At 43.1% G+C, this 16320-nt stretch overlaps 1 protein-coding gene across 6 annotated transcripts in view, besides 6 other annotated features; it reads right to left on the reverse strand.

The window, feature by feature from the left end:
- The window catches only part of FBXO10 (F-box protein 10), a 65489-nt gene that overhangs the window by 45071 nt on the left and 4098 nt on the right, over nucleotides 1-16320 (reverse strand). The window lies entirely within an intron of this gene.
- Nucleotides 5814-5863: an enhancer, noted in NCBI's record as "active region_28397". NCBI's record gives its function as "activates an Ori minimal core promoter by ATAC-STARR-seq in GM12878 lymphoblastoid cells {active_cell/tissue: GM12878}" and the evidence as "EXISTENCE:reporter gene assay evidence [ECO:0000049][PMID:35858748]".
- Nucleotides 9427-9576: an enhancer, noted in NCBI's record as "active region_28398". NCBI's record gives its function as "activates an Ori minimal core promoter by ATAC-STARR-seq in GM12878 lymphoblastoid cells {active_cell/tissue: GM12878}" and the evidence as "EXISTENCE:reporter gene assay evidence [ECO:0000049][PMID:35858748]".
- Nucleotides 10007-10196: an enhancer, noted in NCBI's record as "active region_28399". NCBI's record gives its function as "activates an Ori minimal core promoter by ATAC-STARR-seq in GM12878 lymphoblastoid cells {active_cell/tissue: GM12878}" and the evidence as "EXISTENCE:reporter gene assay evidence [ECO:0000049][PMID:35858748]".
- Nucleotides 10931-10980: a silencer, noted in NCBI's record as "silent region_19908". NCBI's record gives its function as "represses an Ori minimal core promoter by ATAC-STARR-seq in GM12878 lymphoblastoid cells {active_cell/tissue: GM12878}" and the evidence as "EXISTENCE:reporter gene assay evidence [ECO:0000049][PMID:35858748]".
- Nucleotides 11989-12118: an enhancer, noted in NCBI's record as "active region_28400". NCBI's record gives its function as "activates an Ori minimal core promoter by ATAC-STARR-seq in GM12878 lymphoblastoid cells {active_cell/tissue: GM12878}" and the evidence as "EXISTENCE:reporter gene assay evidence [ECO:0000049][PMID:35858748]".
- Nucleotides 12536-12736: a silencer, noted in NCBI's record as "peak7234 fragment used in MPRA reporter construct". NCBI's record gives its function as "represses an SCP1 promoter by STARR-seq MPRAs in K562 erythroleukemia cells {active_cell/tissue: K562}" and the evidence as "EXISTENCE:reporter gene assay evidence [ECO:0000049][PMID:32103011]".

Below are 16320 nucleotides of genomic sequence, written 5' to 3' on the forward strand. Positions count from 1 at the left end.
TTTTACATACTGTTCTATGATCCATCATGAATTAATTTTTGTTATGGTATGAGGTAGTGGTTGAGGTTCATTCTTTTTCTATGTGGATATCAAGTTATTCTAGCACCATTTGTTGAAAACAGTCTCCTTTCCTTATTGGGTTGCTTTGGTGCCTTTTTCAAAAAAAACAAACAATGGTAGTGTGGGATTATTTCTGGACTATTTGTTTCATTGATCTACTTGTCAATCCTTATGCCAGCACCACAGTATCACCACATTTTTGACACTTTTTTTCCTTTTATGCATTATGCTTTTGGTATCAAGTTTAAGAACTTTTTACCTAGCTCTAGATCCTAAAGATTTTTTCCTGTGTTTTTTTCTAAAAGTTTTATAGTTTACACTGTATACTTAAGCCTATGGTCCATCTTGAGTTAATTTCTTATTGAAGTGTAAGTTGAAGTTTTTCTTTTTAGCCTATGGTTATCCAACTGTCCCAGGACCATTTGTTAAAAAGGTTATCCTTTCTCCATTGAACTGCTTTTGTACTTTTGTCAAAAAATGATAAATCAGTTGAGGATATTTTTGTTCTGGATTTTTTTTTTTTTTTTTTTTTTTTTTTTGAGACAGAGTCTCTCTCTTTTGCCCAGTCTGGAGTGCAGTGGCACAATCTCGGCTCACTGCAACTTCTGCCTCCTGAGTTCAAGCCATTCTCCTACCTCAGCCTCCCAAGTAGCTGGGATTACAGGTGTGTGCCGCCACGCCCGGCTAATTTTTGTATTTTTAGTAGATATGGGGGTTTCACCATGTTGGCCAGGCTGGTTTTGAACTCCTGACATCAGGTGATCTGTCCGTCTTGTCCTCCCAAAGTGCTGGGATTACAGGCGTGAGCCACCGCATCCAGCCTGTTCTGTATTCTTTAATGGAATATGTCAAAACCACAATCTGGATATTAGACATGCTTTTTCTACTGGCTTGGTCATTGTTTCTAAGCCTTTTGCATCCTCCACTGGATTGTTTACGATAGGGACTGGGTACTTTTCTCTCTGAAGACTCAATACCTGGTGTTGACTCCTTTCTCTATTACAACTATTCAGGGCAACAGAAAAGACAAGGAGAGCATTCTTAGCTACAGGGTGCCTACATTATTCCAATACTGGGTCTACGTGTCCATGCACTATGAGAGTAGGATTCTGATTTTTCCCAGGCTATGGGTTCTTTCAGGCAATGATGCCAATAAGTGATGATTTATGATTACTTACAATTGACCCGACCATCATCACAAGACAGTAGTACCTCTGGCAGCTCAAATGAACCCTTTTATATTGAACTCTCACGTAACTCACTCTTTCCCTCACAACTTCATATCCTTGCACTCTACATCCCTTCTGAGCCTTACCCCAGACCTCTTTACCCCTTCGGAGGCCTTGGATGGCTCTGCCTCTGATTATTCTTTTCTTAATTTGAATGTTGCTTTTCTCCTCACAAAGTCATTCTCATGAGGAAGGAGCTCTGCCAGGACCTGAGTGGGGTAGATGCAGTTCAGCCTCAGTTAGGACCTCTCCTCCAACCATGTTCTTGGCTTGCCTCACTTGAGAAGTAATTTTAAAATGTTATTTTGCTGTCTTTCCATAAAGTTTTGGTGACCTATACGTGGTACTCTGAATTCAGTGACTTCACATATTACATTTCATCTAGCTGGCCTTGACCGTTCACAAAGTCCATTTCTAGCTAGCTCAGATAATCTCCCTCCCACATAACAGCTTACATACTATGTCCCCACATGGTTTACATTTATCTTTCTACATTTCTTATCTATTTCCCTATAAAGAGGGGCTCATCTATAATACTTTTCTAGCTGTCCTGGTTTCATTTTTTTCCTTATTATTTAGCCACTTCAATTTAAAACCACCAGAAGGACATCATTATCCCCATTTTCATAACCTTCCATATGAAAGTATGCTAACCATCAACTACCCAAACATTTCCTCCCAGTGGGCGATCTCATCTTAACCAGGACCAACTGCTGCATCTGAAAGGAGTATTTTTAATCATTGCTAAGAGCTTTGACGTACTTGTTAGAATCTGTATTCTCATCGTCCCCACAGGCTGCTCTTGATTTCTGAGCTCCTCTGAGTATAACCATATACTCTTCTTTCAGGGAGCACCATATACTGCGCACTTTCTGAGATGCTTTATCCATGATGTTCTTTCCTTCTACAAGGGGCAACTCTGACAGGTGTTCAAGAGTGAATCAGCTAACACTAAAGGAACCTAATCTATACCACCTTCCAGGTGAGAGGCTTCCATATGGTCTTTTGCAGGACTTTCCATTAGGGTTCTCCTGGGATCTATTGCTAATGGTTGGTATTCCAAGTCTCAGGAGGGACTTGGAATAAGAGAGACCCAAATTGCAACCACCAACCCTCATAAATGCATCTCTGCTTCTCAACTCGAGCCTAGTTTACTTTACTATATAAGTGTTCAACCCAGTCAATGCATTGTGTGCCCCATGTGACATCCCATAGTATCCAGCACTGACAATTTCTCTCCCAGATGGGTTTCCCCCATTTCCCATAGTAGCTCATCAATAATGAATACCCTAGGCTATCATAATTCACTTACAGAGAATACAGCAAGAACCCCACATACCATCCAATATGCAGCACAAAGTACAGGCTTAATAACAGTGTTTTTAAGTAAACGAATAATCAGAAATGAGCCCCCATCATGCCCCCACCTCAAATTTTAGGTGAATAATTAATGTATCACCCATTAGGTGATAGCAACCATTTGCTGTCATAGCTAATAACAATGTGAGATAGAAGGAATTAAGCACTACTGCAGCTTATAGAGATCAAGAAGAAAGAAAATCTTTTTTTTTTTTTTGAGATGGAGTTTCGCTCTTGTTGCCCAGGCTGGAGTGCAATGGTGTGACCTCAGCTCACCGCAACCTCCACCTCCCAGGTTTAACTGATTCTCCTGCCTCAGCCTCCCGAGTAGCTGCGATTACAGACGCGCACCACCACGCCCGGCTAATTTTTTGTATTTTTAGTAGAGACGAGGTTTCACCATGGTCAGGTTTGTTTTGAACTCCTGACCTCAGGTGATCCGCCCGCCTCGGCCTCCCAGAGTGCTGGGATTACAGGCATGAGCCACCGCGCCTGGCCGAAAAAAGAAAATCTTTAAGCCAGACTTAGTAGGACCTCCCATAGCAGTGATTCTTTAATCGTGGCTCTTCAGTCATCACCTGAGAATCACCTGGGGCCTATTCCTAGCTTCATCTCAGACCTCCAGAATCAGAATCTCTGGAGTGGAACCAATTATGTGCATTTTTAACAAGCTCCCTGGTGATTGTGATAAAGGGCCCCACCCACACTTTGATGCAGCATCCTTCTTCCTCAGCTTCAACCCTTTCAGTGAAGCAGCTGTCTCTGTATCATGCAAAGACCAATCATTTCAAAGCCAAAAGACCTGGGGTCAAGTTGCAGGTGACCTTGAACAAGTCACTTAACCTCTCTGGGCCTCAGGTTCCTCATATATAAATTGGGGACCTTGATAGCACCCAAAGGCTTGCTGTGATGATTAAAAAATTGAAAGCACATTACATTGGGAATCAATGCTCTTCATCAACTGCTTCCAGTTTTCTTTCCTTCTGGGCACATGACAAGATTGTACATCTGATCCCTCCTGAGGTCAAATGGGGCCACAAGACTAGTACTAACCAATGGGTTTTGAGTAGAAGAGATGTGCGTTACTTCTCGACTAGAGCACTTCATTGCCTATGCAGGATCATCCACAGCTTGCTTTTCTCTGTGGCACAGCAACTGGCAACATTTGAGATGACGGTTACTCTAGGAACCTGGATCCTTAAATGATTAGAGTAAGCAGAGATCCCGACCAAGCCAAGATGGACAAACACCATGCATGAAAAATACACCTTTGTTTGGGTTAAGGCACTAAGAACTTGCAGATTGTTTGTTACCATAGCAGAGGCTGAAAGAGCATATGAAACTCTAAAGGGCATTATTATAAAGCCCTCGGACACCTTGAGATTGACTTCACTACTCTTCCCCAGGTGGTGTCAGTTCTGACCCCTTGGAGCCACTGGTGCTCGACCCTCTTTCACAAGTTGCATGATGGGAAAGGCCCTGAATGCCAGACTAAGAAGCTTGTACTGTCTATTATAGATTCCTCAGAAGGGAAGTGGCCTGATCAGAGCTATATTTTAAGGAGATCCATCCAGGAGAGGTATTTAGGTGGAACAGTGAGGGCAGGAACTCACAATTTTGCAAATATTAATTGTAATTTCTTTCCCTTAGGATGATGTGAGGGTGTCTGGGGGATTTGGGGCCAAGCCACCTGACGTAGAAACTACTGGAGCTTCGGTTTCTTGGGGTTCCAAGAAGCCCACCTATAGTAGGAAGCACATGGTTTAGTCACTGGCCTCTCAGGGGAAGGGGGATTTCCTAGCAGGTTACTGTCAACCCTTCAGCATTTGTTTTCCCCCAAACTTGCCTGTGTACCCAACTCCAGGGCTCTGTATCTAGAATGAAGCCAACAATTGCCCCCTCTTGACTCCGAGCACACATGCACATTTCCTATCATTCCATTTGGCTTTATTTACTATATCTTTACACTAATCCATGGAGATTCATGAAACAACAGGGACTTCTTAGAACAAGGTAACACTTTTTATTTTATTTTTTTTAATGCATTCAAGTTTTGCCTTTCCGTTTTACCACTGGGGCCTCTGCATGTGGAATTAAAAGTAACAAATGTCCCCAGAGCCTGTGCACCTGGAGTGTGATGCCTGTAAAGAACTGGAAAAACAATGATGGAAGCCTGTCTGGGATGGAGGGAGTATGGCCTGAAGTAGGCCCCAAGTGGTTCCGTTTTTTGATTAAAAAAACTTTTTATTTTGCTGGGCGCGGTGGCTCATGCCTGTAATCCCAGCACTTTGGGAGGCCGAGGCAGGCAGATCATGAGGTCAGGAGATTGAGACCATCCAGGCTAACACGGTGAAACCCCGTCTCTACTAAAAATACAAAAAATTAGCCGGGCATGGTGGTGGGCACCTGTAGTCCCAGCTACTCAGGAGGCTGAGACAGAAGAATGGTGTGAACCCAGGAGGCGGGGCTTGCAGTGAGCCGAGATCGTGCCACTGCACTCTAGCCTGGGCGAAAGAGCAAGACTCCGTCTCAAAAAAACAAAACAAAACAAAACAAAATCAACTTTTTTTTTTTTTTTTTTTTTAAAGAAGTGAGGTCTCTCTGTGTTGCCCAGGCTGGAGTACAGTGGCAGGATCATAGCTCACTGCAGCCTCGAACTCCTGGCCACAAGTGATCCTCCCACCTTAGCCTCTCAAAATACTGTGATTACAGGCGTGAGTTACCATGCCCAGACTTGTTCCATTTTTTATGGTCCCAAGAGTGTTAGAACTCAGAGTTTCTGTGTAGCACTCTCCTAACCTCCCACTGGAGGTATCCACATGCCTCTGGGCCACCTGGTGTCCCCAGCCTCAGTGGGAGAGAAGGAGGCAAGTCCCATAAGACTTGGCTCTCAACAAGCAGGCTCTCTGCTGCTGCCTCGCCCTGTGACTTCAGCACGTCCTTGAACCTTTCTGAACCTATTTCCTTGCCTCTAAACTGAGGCTGACAATGGCTGGCCTGATACACCTCATGCAGATTTTGACAATTTCCAGAGAAAAAAATCATTTATTCAACAAACATTCGTTGATTGCCTATGTGCCAAGCATTGTTCCAAGAACTGAAAAGCAGTAAATGAGGCAAAGTCCCTACCTTCAGAGACAGACAATAAACGAAAAAGATATTAACATAAATGCTATGAAGAGAAATAAAGCAGGTTAAGGGGTATATGTGCATGCATGTGCTATTTCAGACAGGGTTGTCAAGGAAGGTCTCTGAGGAAGTGACATTTGAATAGAGACCTGAATGACATTTAAAGCCATGGCATGGACTGAGATCACTGGTGAAGGAGTTAAGAGAGAGAAGCAATCTGATGAACAAGCCCTTGGCCAGTCTAACATCTCAACGGCATGACATGGAAACACATCTGTAAAGGGGAAAGTGGGAACAACCTCCCTCACAGCACTGTCCAGAGCTCTGCACCTGTGAGGCACTGGAAGGAAGGCTGCTGCTTTGTTCATTTGCTGTCTGTACTCCCACTGCTTCTGGGAAGGGTGGGCTCCATGTGCCCGTTCACCAAGCACCAAGATGGGCAGGCAGGCTGGGGTCAGGAATAAAAACATCCCTCAGGGATCTGCACTTGGGAGCTGTGTGGTGGGAGGAAGTGGCAACAGGGGAACGCTTTGGTATTAACAGTTGAGTATAAAGTGAAGCCCTTGCTTTGGCTCCCTGTAAGCTCTCTAATGTCTTGGTCGCTCACAAATTCTTTTGTGTGAGTGGATCTGTGAGGGGGCAGAGGGGACACAGGAAGTGCTGAGTTATTCCACAGGGATGAACCACGGGAAAAGGGAAACACACCTGTGGACCCAGAGCGCCAGGTGACAGAGCCTGGGCACCTCTAGGAGGAAATTCCCTGTGGAATTAAATGTTTTCCTTCATTTATTGTCTGTCTCCCCTGAGTAAAATGTAAGCTCCTGAAGGGCAGAAACTTTGCATCACTGCTTTGCACTATGCCCAGAACTATGCCTGGCGCATAGCAGGTGCTCAACAATCATTTACTGAATAAATAATCACCCTCATCATTATCTGGTATATTAGCATAGCTGAGACTACTCAAATCATTAGCAATAGATTCCCTGCTGCCACACAGATCCCTGTGGAATAAAAAAAGAAGTAAATAAGAACCCAAGTATGTATTCAACACTTGCTGTGTATAAGACCAAGTGGTTAGCACCTTGTGAGTCAGTGGGAATCAGATAAAGACCCTGCTCTCAAGTCTGGCAGAACAAAGATATGTCTACCAAAAAACACCCAAAAGACAAAAAGAAAACCAAAGAAATCCCACAATTCAAGGGGAAAAATGCTTAGTGCCTGATATGGTTTGGCTGTGTCCCCACCCAAAATCTCATCTAGAATTATACTCCCCATAATCCCCATGTGTCAGGGGTGTGACCAAGTAGAGATAATCAGATCATGAAGGCAGTTCCCCATGCTGTTCTCATGATAGTGAGTGAGTCTCACAAGATCTGATGGTTTTATAAGCCATCTGGCATTTCCCCTGCTTGCACTCATTCTCTCTCCTGCCACCCCGTGAAGAGGTGCCTTCTGCCATGATTGTAAGTTTTCTGAGGCCTCCCCAGCCATGCAGAACTGTGAGTCAATTAAACCTCTTTTGTTTATAAATTACCTAGTTGTGGGTATTTCTTAACAGCAGCATGAGAACAGACTAATACAGTAAATTGGTACTACAGAGAGTGGGGTGCTGCTGTAAAGATACCTGAAATGTGGAAGCGACTTTGGAACTGGGTAACAGGCAGAGGCTGGAATGGTTTGGAGGGCTCGGAAGAAGACAGAAAAATGTGGGAAAGTCTGGAACTTCCTAGAGACTTAGAGGGCTCAGAAGACAAGAAGATGTGGGAAAGTTTGGAGCTTCTTAGGGACTTGTTGAATGGCTTTGATCAAAATGCTGATAGTGATATGGACCATGAAGTCCAGGCTGAGGTGGTCTCAGATGGAGATAAGCCACTTCTTAGGAACCGGAGTAAAGGTAACTCTTGCTATGCAAAGAGACTCACAGCATTTTGTCCCTCCCCTAGAGATCTGTGGAACTTTGAACTTGAGAGAAATGATTCAGGGTATCTGGCAGAAGAAACTTCTAAACGACAAAGCATTCAAGAGGAAGCAGAGCATAAAAGTTTGGAAAATTTGCAGGAGATCATTTCGGAATTTTAAGGTTTAATGACTGGCCTATTGGATGTGATAGAAAAGAAAACCCCATTTTCTGGGGAGAAATTCAAGCCCAATGCAGAAATTTGCACAAGTAATGAGGAATGTTAATCACCAAGATAATGTGGAAAATGTCTGCAGGGCATGTCAGAGAACTTCAAGGCAGCCCCTCCCATCACAGGCCCAAGGCCTAGGAGGGAAAAATGGTTCCATGGGCCTGGGCCAGGCACAGGGACCCTCTGCTCTGTGCAGCCTTGGGACATGGTACCCTGCATCCCAGCTGCTTCAGCTGCAGCAGTGGCTAAAAGGGGCCAAGGTACAGCTTGGGCCATTGCTTCAGAGGGTGCAAGCCCTACTCACTGGTGGCTTCCACATAGTGTTGAGCCTGTGGGTGCACAGAAGTCAAGAACTGAGGTATAGAAACCTCTACTTAGATTTTAGAGCATGTATGGAAACAGCTGGATGTCCAGGAAGAAGTTTGCTGCAGGGGTGGAGCCCTCATGGAGAACACCTGCTTGGGCAGTATAGAAGGGAAATGTGGGGTCGGGGCCCCCACACAGAGTCTCCACGGGGGCACTGCCCAGTGGAGCTGTGAGAAGAAGGTCACCATCCTCCAGACCCCACAATGGCAGATCCACTGAGAGCTTGCATCATGTGCCTGGAAAAGCTGCAGACACTCAACACCAGCCTGTGAAAGCAGCCAGGAGGTGGGTTGTATCCTGCAAAGCCACAGGGGTGGAGCTGCCCAAGGCTGGGAGCCCACCTTTTGCATCAGCATAACCTGGATATGAGACATGCAGTCAAAGGAGATCATTTTGGAACTTTAAGGTTTAATAACTAACCTATTGGATTTTGGACTTGCATAGGGCCTGTAGCCCCTTTGGCCAATCTCTCCCATTTGGAGTGGGTATATTTACCCAATGTCTGTACCCCCACTGTATTTAGGAAGTAACTAGCTTGCCTTTGATTTTACAGGCTCATAGGCAGAAGGGACTTGCCTTGTCTCAGATGAGACTTTGGACCTGGACTTTTGGGTTAATGCTGGAATGAGTTAAGACTTTGGGGTACTGTTGGAAAGGAATGACAGTGTTTTGAAATATGAAGACATGAAATTTGGGAGGGCCCAGGGGCAGAATGATATGGTTTGGCTGTGTCCCCGCCCAAAATATCATCTTGAATTATAATTCCCACAATCCCCATTTGTCAGGGGAGGGACCATGTAGAGGTAATTGGATCATGGGGCACGGTTTCCCCCATGCTGTTCTCGTGATAGTGAGTCCCATGAGATCTGATGCTTTTATAAGTCTCTGGAATTTCCCCTGCTTGCACTCATCTCTCTCCTGCCACCCTGTGAAGAGGTGCCTTTCACCATGATTGTAAGTTTCCTGAGGCCTCCCCAGCCATGTGGAACTGTGAGTCAATTAAACCTCTTTTCTTTATAAATTAGTCTCAGATATTTCTTCATGGCAGCGTGAGCACAGACTAACACAGTGCCATAAAAAAGGGAAAGCCCTTGTTTAAAGAACAAAAATGTGACCTCCAGCTAGGGAAACAAACCAATAATAATGGAAGACAACAAAAACAGCAGCAGGTAGCTTTTACTCAGTACTGCTATTTGAGGGGCACAATATTAAGTGCTTTTCATGCATTATTTCATCCTATTCCCTGAAGATCTCTTCAAGCCTTACAACTCAAAATGTGCTCCCAGGACCTAGGAGCTTGTTAGAAGTGGCAGACATTGGGCACCACCGTGTACCTCCTGGATCAGATTTGGCATTTTAACAACATCACCAGGGAACTGATGTGCACCCTAAATTTGAGAAGCAATGACTGAAATTAATACTGTCTTCATTTTTCAGTTCAAGAAACTAAACTTATGTGACAAATGGCTTGCCCCAATCACTCGTTAGAGAGGTGCAGAACCACTGAAGCCCAGCCCGTCCCCAGAGACTCTTGTTTTTAACCACTAAGCCAAGCTTCATGGAGGAGCTGGTATCTGAACTGGACTCTGAAATTTGCATAGGACTGGGACATTCAGAGGAGGAAGAAAGGGGGCTATAGCAGAGGAAACAGCATCAGCAAAAGCTCCTGAGGTAGAAAACCTTCAGCTGGGCTTAGGACATGTTGGGAGGTTCAGTCTGGCTGCAGCTCCAGGAGTCTGAAGGGATCAGTGAGAAAGGCCACCTGTATTAGTTCACATGGAACACCCTTAGCCAAAGGTAAACAGTTTCTAGTTAATTTGGGGGACCATGGGGAGCTGCCATGAGTCCCAGCACAAAAGGCCCTATGCGTGCTGAAATGACTCTGACAAAAGGGACCCAACAGGCTTCATTCACACTCTAGTTTGGGCTCTGCCTCTCCCTTGCAGACTAATCATGACGGCAGGTGACTTAACTCTTGTTTCACATTTGTATAACAAGGGAAACACACTTTCTACCTACAGAGGGCCATACTAGTATCAAAGTGTTGGAATTTAGTTTCTAATAAAAAAGTAAGATTAGCCAGGCATAGTGGTGGGCACCTGTAATCCCAGCTACTTGGGAGGCTGAGGCAGAGAATCGCTTGAACCTGGGAGGTGGAGGTTGCAGTGAGCTGAGATCACACCACTGCACTGCAGCTTGGACAACAAAGTGAGACTCTGTCTCGGAAAAAAAAAAAAAAAAAGTGGAAAAAAAAATCAAGGGCTGCTCAGAACCCTATTTAGTATTGACAGGAAAAGAAAAAATTTCTCTTCCAACATTATGAGGCACACAAGCCTCACAGGCACAGCGTAAATAACTACAAACTGTATTAACTGAGCAACTGTAATGGATTAATGATTTAAAATCTTTCTTCAAATCAAAGTAAATGTCCCTAGCTTTGTGGAGTAAACTGTTCTAAAGTAATAGTAAAATATTATAACCCCAAAGAGCCCTGTACACACACCTACACACACCATCGGAAATGAGACAAAACTTAAATTTGAAGATGAGAAAAACTTCAGCTGGGCTTTTCATCATTTCTTCAAACCGTAGCTCTCTTCAGCGTGAGAAATAACCATCTGTTTCTTATTTTCAGCTTTGAAATTTGATGACATAAACCAGAAAGCTGTGTTCTGATGGTGCTTTCTGAGTGGGCTTGGAGCCATAAGGACCCTCTCTCCTTTCAATGCACTGCCTGTTCATTTTGGTTTACTTAGGAGACAGAAGGGGAGTTGCAGGGGGGTCCCCAGATCCAGGTTTTAGTACTGATTCTCACATAAATTTATTGCATGTCCTTGAAGGGGCAGGCAAGGGTGTTTTGAGGGCTTACTAAATGCCAGGTGCTTTTTACATGTCTTTTTTTTTTCTTTTTTTCTTTTTTTTTTTTGAGACAAGGTCTTGCTTTGTCACCCAGATTGGAGTGCAGTGATGTGATCTTGGCTCACTACAGCCTCAATCTCCTGGGCTCAAGTGATCTTCCAGCCTCAGCCTCCTGAGTAGCTGGGACTATGGGCACACGCTACCACACCCAGCTAAATTTTTTTTTTTTTTTTTAGAGATGAGGTCTCACTATGTTGCCCAGGCTAGTCTCAAAGTCCTGGGCTCAAGCGATCCTCCTGCCTCAGCCTCCCAAAGTGCTGGGATTATAGGCGTGAGCCACCATGCCCAGCCTTACATATCGTCTTAATGAGCACTTATAACAACCAAAACGTAGTATGCTTATCCTCAATTCCTATGAGTAAACATTTATTGTGTGGTAATATTTTAGTGCATAACAATTGCAGGATCAAATTCATTCTTATTTCATGATCTGTGAGTTTATATATATGTGATGGTGGGGCTAGAAGTTCCTATATCATCACTTCACAAGTTAGGAACCCCAGTACTCCAAGAAAGGAACTAGGAGGCACCATGCCTGGCTAATTTTTGCATTTTTAGTAGAGATGGGGTTTCACCATGTTGGCCAGGCTGGTCTTGAACTCCTGACCTCAGGTGATCTGTCCGCCTCGGCCTCCCAAAGTGCTGGGATTCCAGGCATGAGCCACTGCACCTGACCTTAGCTATGTCTGCCCAGCACCTTCCCTCTTCTGCGTCCTCAGGGGAACCCCGCTTCTACTCTATTTAGTCCTGCTGGGGCTGCCACTGAGAGTGTTGCAGTCCTCTACCTCACAGGATGGATACTTGACCCAAAGAAGACAGTAAGAATCCCCCATCCTCTTGCAAGGAATGGGGCAACTCAAAAGAGTCCATATGAGGAATGAAGCCAAACTCAGACAATTAAGGTGAGAGACTGCAAGAGATCAAAGGGCCAGGGACACAGTAACATTTTCTTTTTAAAGCCAACTGATGTTCTTTTTCAAGTTCAGATACTTTAAGCTGATCACCTACAAGCAAACAAATCCTGACAGTTTTCTCAAGTAAATTATTATTATTATTATTTTTGAGATGGAGTCTTGCTCTGTTGCCCAAACTGGAGTACAATGGCGCGATCTTGGCTCACTGCAACTGCCACCTCCTGGATTCAAGTGATTCTCCTGCCTCAGCTTCTCGGGTAGCTGGGATTACAGCCGCCTGCCACCACGCCTGACTAATTTTTGTATTTTTAGTAGAGATGGGGTTTCACCGTGCTGGCCAGGCTGGTCTCGAACTCCTGACCTCAGGCAAACCGCCCACCTCAGCCTCCTAAAGTGCTGGGATTACAGGTGTGAGCCACTGGCACACATCCCCACCCACCCAATTTACTTTGTTTTCAAGAAACCAATTTACTTTGTTTTCTCAGGTAAATTATTTACTCTCTTCCTTTTTCTCTCTGTAGGCTAGTAAGACTCCAATCAAAGTTGATACATTGTATTTACATCTCCTCTACCCTAAGGTGGAAAAAGGATAAACGGAGTTCATGTGGTCTAAGGTCGGAGTTCACGTGGTCTAAGGTCGGAGTTCATGTGGTCTAAGGTCAGAGTTCATGTGGTCTAAGGTCGGAGTTCATGTGGTCTAAGGTCGCTGTACTGTCTGTCCAAAAGAGCAAGGATATTCACCACTTATAACGGAAATCTATCAACTTTGGTCAAATTGAAATTTCAAGCATAACCATTAAGAAAAAGTGTATAACATCCACATTAGTAGAAAAAAAAGGTGAATGATGAAAAATAGCTCCAAAGAAGGGAAGACAGCTGTAATGAAATGGAGAACTGTCAGGACAAACAGATTGAGAGCATAAAATAAGGCAGACCTAAACAAAAATACATCAGTGGTGCTATTAATGAAAATGGACTAAATGTTCTAATTAAAAGACAGAGAAAGTCAGGGTTTTCCCTGACTTTAAAACTTCCTTATAAGTTTTCCCAGGGTTTAAAAAACCAAAACCCAATTATATGCTATTCATAAGAGACTTACCTAAAACACAGTTACAGAAAAGATGCAACTAATGGAAAAAAAATACCTTGTGTAGATTTTTAAAAAGATTACACTATCAGGTAAAGTATAAGGCAAAAAAAAAAATTATTAGAAACAAAAAAGGCAGCTTCATAATGATAAAAAGTGAATTAAGAATTAAGAATTAAGAAGATAAAACAACTTTATATTTGTATATGCACCTGATAATACGGCCTTACAGATATAAAGCAAAAAAAAAAAAAAAAATTAAAAGATGAAGTAGACAAATTCATAATTATACTTGGATATTTAAACACATCCCTCTATAATTCATAGGAAAAAAAAAAACACCCAGTAAGGATAAAGAAGATTTGAACACCATTAACAAACTTGATCTAATGGCATTTCATTGGACATTGAATCCAATAACTGTAGAATACATTTTACTTTCAAACACACATGGAACATTTATAAAAACTGACCATAAACAGAGCTCTAACAGAAGTATCAAGAAATTTCAAAGGATTAAAATTATACAGCTTCGAGCACAGTGGCTCACACCTGTAGTCCTTCCAGCTACCTGGGGAGACTGAAGCAGGAGGATTGCTTGAGCCAGGAGTTCAAGGCTGCAGTTAGCTATGATCACACCACTGTACTCCAATGTGGGAGACAGTGAGACTGTCTCAAAAACAAACAAACCAACCAACCAAAAACAGAACAAGCTCACTGACCACAGTCATAATTAGTCATAAATAAAGGATAATTAGAAAATGTTAGTATGTTTGGATATTACAAAACACATTTCTCGAATATAATATCTATTGGTTAAAGAAAAAGAATTACAATGGAAATTAGAATATTTTTAGAAATAAACAACAAAGAAGGCTGGGCGCAGTGGCTCATGCCTGTATCCCAGCATTTTGGGAGGCCAAGGCAGGTGGAACACCTGAGGTAAGGAGTTCGAGACCCGCCTGAGCAACATGGTAAAACCCTGTCTCTACTAAAATACAAAAACATTAGCTGGGCATGGTGGCGCATGCATGCAATCCCAGCTACTTGGGAGGCTGAGGAGGCAGGATAATCCCTTGAACCCGGGAGGTGGAGGTTGCAGTGAGCCGAGATTGTGCCATTGCACTCCAGCCTGGGCAACAAGAGTGAAAGTCTGTCTCGGAAAAAAAAAAGAAAAGAAATAAACAACAGAGATACCACATATCAAAACTTGTGAACTCCTGCTGAAACAGAATTTGGAAAAAAATGTATAACCTTAAATAGAGAGAATCAAAAAGATAAAAATTAATGAAACTAAACATCAATTTCAAGAAGTCAGAAAAAGAACAAAATAAATCCAAGGAAAATAGAAGAGAAAAATAAAGAACAGAGCAGAACTTATGAAACAGAAAACAAATTTATTATGAAGACTATCACTGATGATAAGAGCAGGTTCTCTGAAAAGAACCTCTACTAAAACCAAAGAAGAAGGAAAAAAAAGCATTAAAATGAAATCAGAATGAAAGAGGGGATATCTCTATAGATGCTGTACACCAAATGATAAGAAAATATTATAAACGGCCAGGTGCGGTGGCTCACGCCTGTAATCCCAGCACTTTGGGAGGCTGAGGCAGGTGAATCACGAGGTCAAGAGATGGAGACCATCCAGACCAACGTGGTGAAACTCCGTCTCTACTAAAAATACAAAAAATTAGCTGGGCGTGGTGGCACGTGCCTGTAGTCCCAGCTACTCAGGAGGCTGAGGCAGGAGAATCGCTTGAAACCGGAAGGCGGAGGTTGCAGTGAGCTGAGATTGCGCCACTGCAGTCCAGCCTGGCGACAGGGCAAGACTCCGTCTCAAAAAAAAAAAAAAAAATTATAAACAACTTTATATAAGTAAATATGAAGGGATAAACTCCTAGGAAAATATTACTTAGTTAAGAAATTATAAAAACAAAATCACCCTAGAACCATTAAAGACATTGAGTCTGTGGTCAAAAATAAGATTGCAAAGAAAACACACCTGCGAGCCCAGGTGGCTTCATCACCAAGTTCTATCATACATTCAAGGGACAAAGAAGGGGAAACTAAAATGGATGGTGGAAGAGGATGATATGGGTATTTGTTAGATTTCTGGACCAACTGCAGCAGCAAGGGTTGTAATTTGTCTCACTAATCTTCCTCTTATAAGTTTTCCCAGGATTTGTGACTAACCAGAATCCTGGAGAAGCTGTACCTGGATACAGTGAACTTAATATAAGAAGCAAGCCTATCTGTATGGTACAAGAAGTGGACTGTGGAGAATACTACTGGTTCCATCCAGATCATCTTTACTGGTTAGCACACCTGTCACTGAGATGTGGTGTCAGCTGAGAACAACTCACAGATGTCCCTTTCTCCAGAAAACTGCAACTGCCCCCTCACCAGGCTGTGCCTCTCCTCCCCCAATCCAGCTTTCCTCATACTCCTCTTCCTGAGGGCTTCTCCCACAGTCTCACTTGAACAAGAATCTCTATTTTATGCCCTGCTTCTACAGAATGGGATCGAAGATATCACCATTTAAGAGGGTGAAAAGAGAGCCATATATATATATATATATATATATATATATATATTTCCTTATTGAAAAATCAATTTAAAAAATTTAAAAATGGCAAGAGACATGAATAGACAGTTCACAAAAGAGGCAATCCAATTAACCAACAAAAAACTGCTCAAGGGCTGGGCATGGTAGCTCACACCTGTAATCCCAGCACTTGGGGAGGCTGACATGGGAGAATAGTTTGAGTCCAGGAGTTTGAGACCAGCCTGGAAAATATGGCAAGACCTGGTCTCTACAAAAAAAAATAAAATAATTATCTGGCTGTCCCAGCTGCTCAGGGGGCTGAGGTGGGAGAGATCTCTTGAGCCTAGGAGGTTGAGGCTACAGTAAGCCATGATCACGCCACTGCAATCCAGCCTGGGTGACAAAGCAAGACCCTGTTTCCAAAAAAAAGAAAAAAGAAAAAAGTGCTCAACCTCAAGAGTAACCAAGGAGAGCAAGTTAAAACCACAAGAAATATCAAGACACACACATGAAAATAGTTAAAATATTAAAACCAATAAAAGCAACTATTTGCCAGGATATGAAGCAACTGGAACTCTCATAT

Source organism: Homo sapiens, chromosome 9 (genome assembly GCF_000001405.40).
Source record: "Homo sapiens chromosome 9, GRCh38.p14 Primary Assembly".
Lineage (NCBI taxonomy): Eukaryota > Metazoa > Chordata > Mammalia > Primates > Hominidae > Homo > Homo sapiens.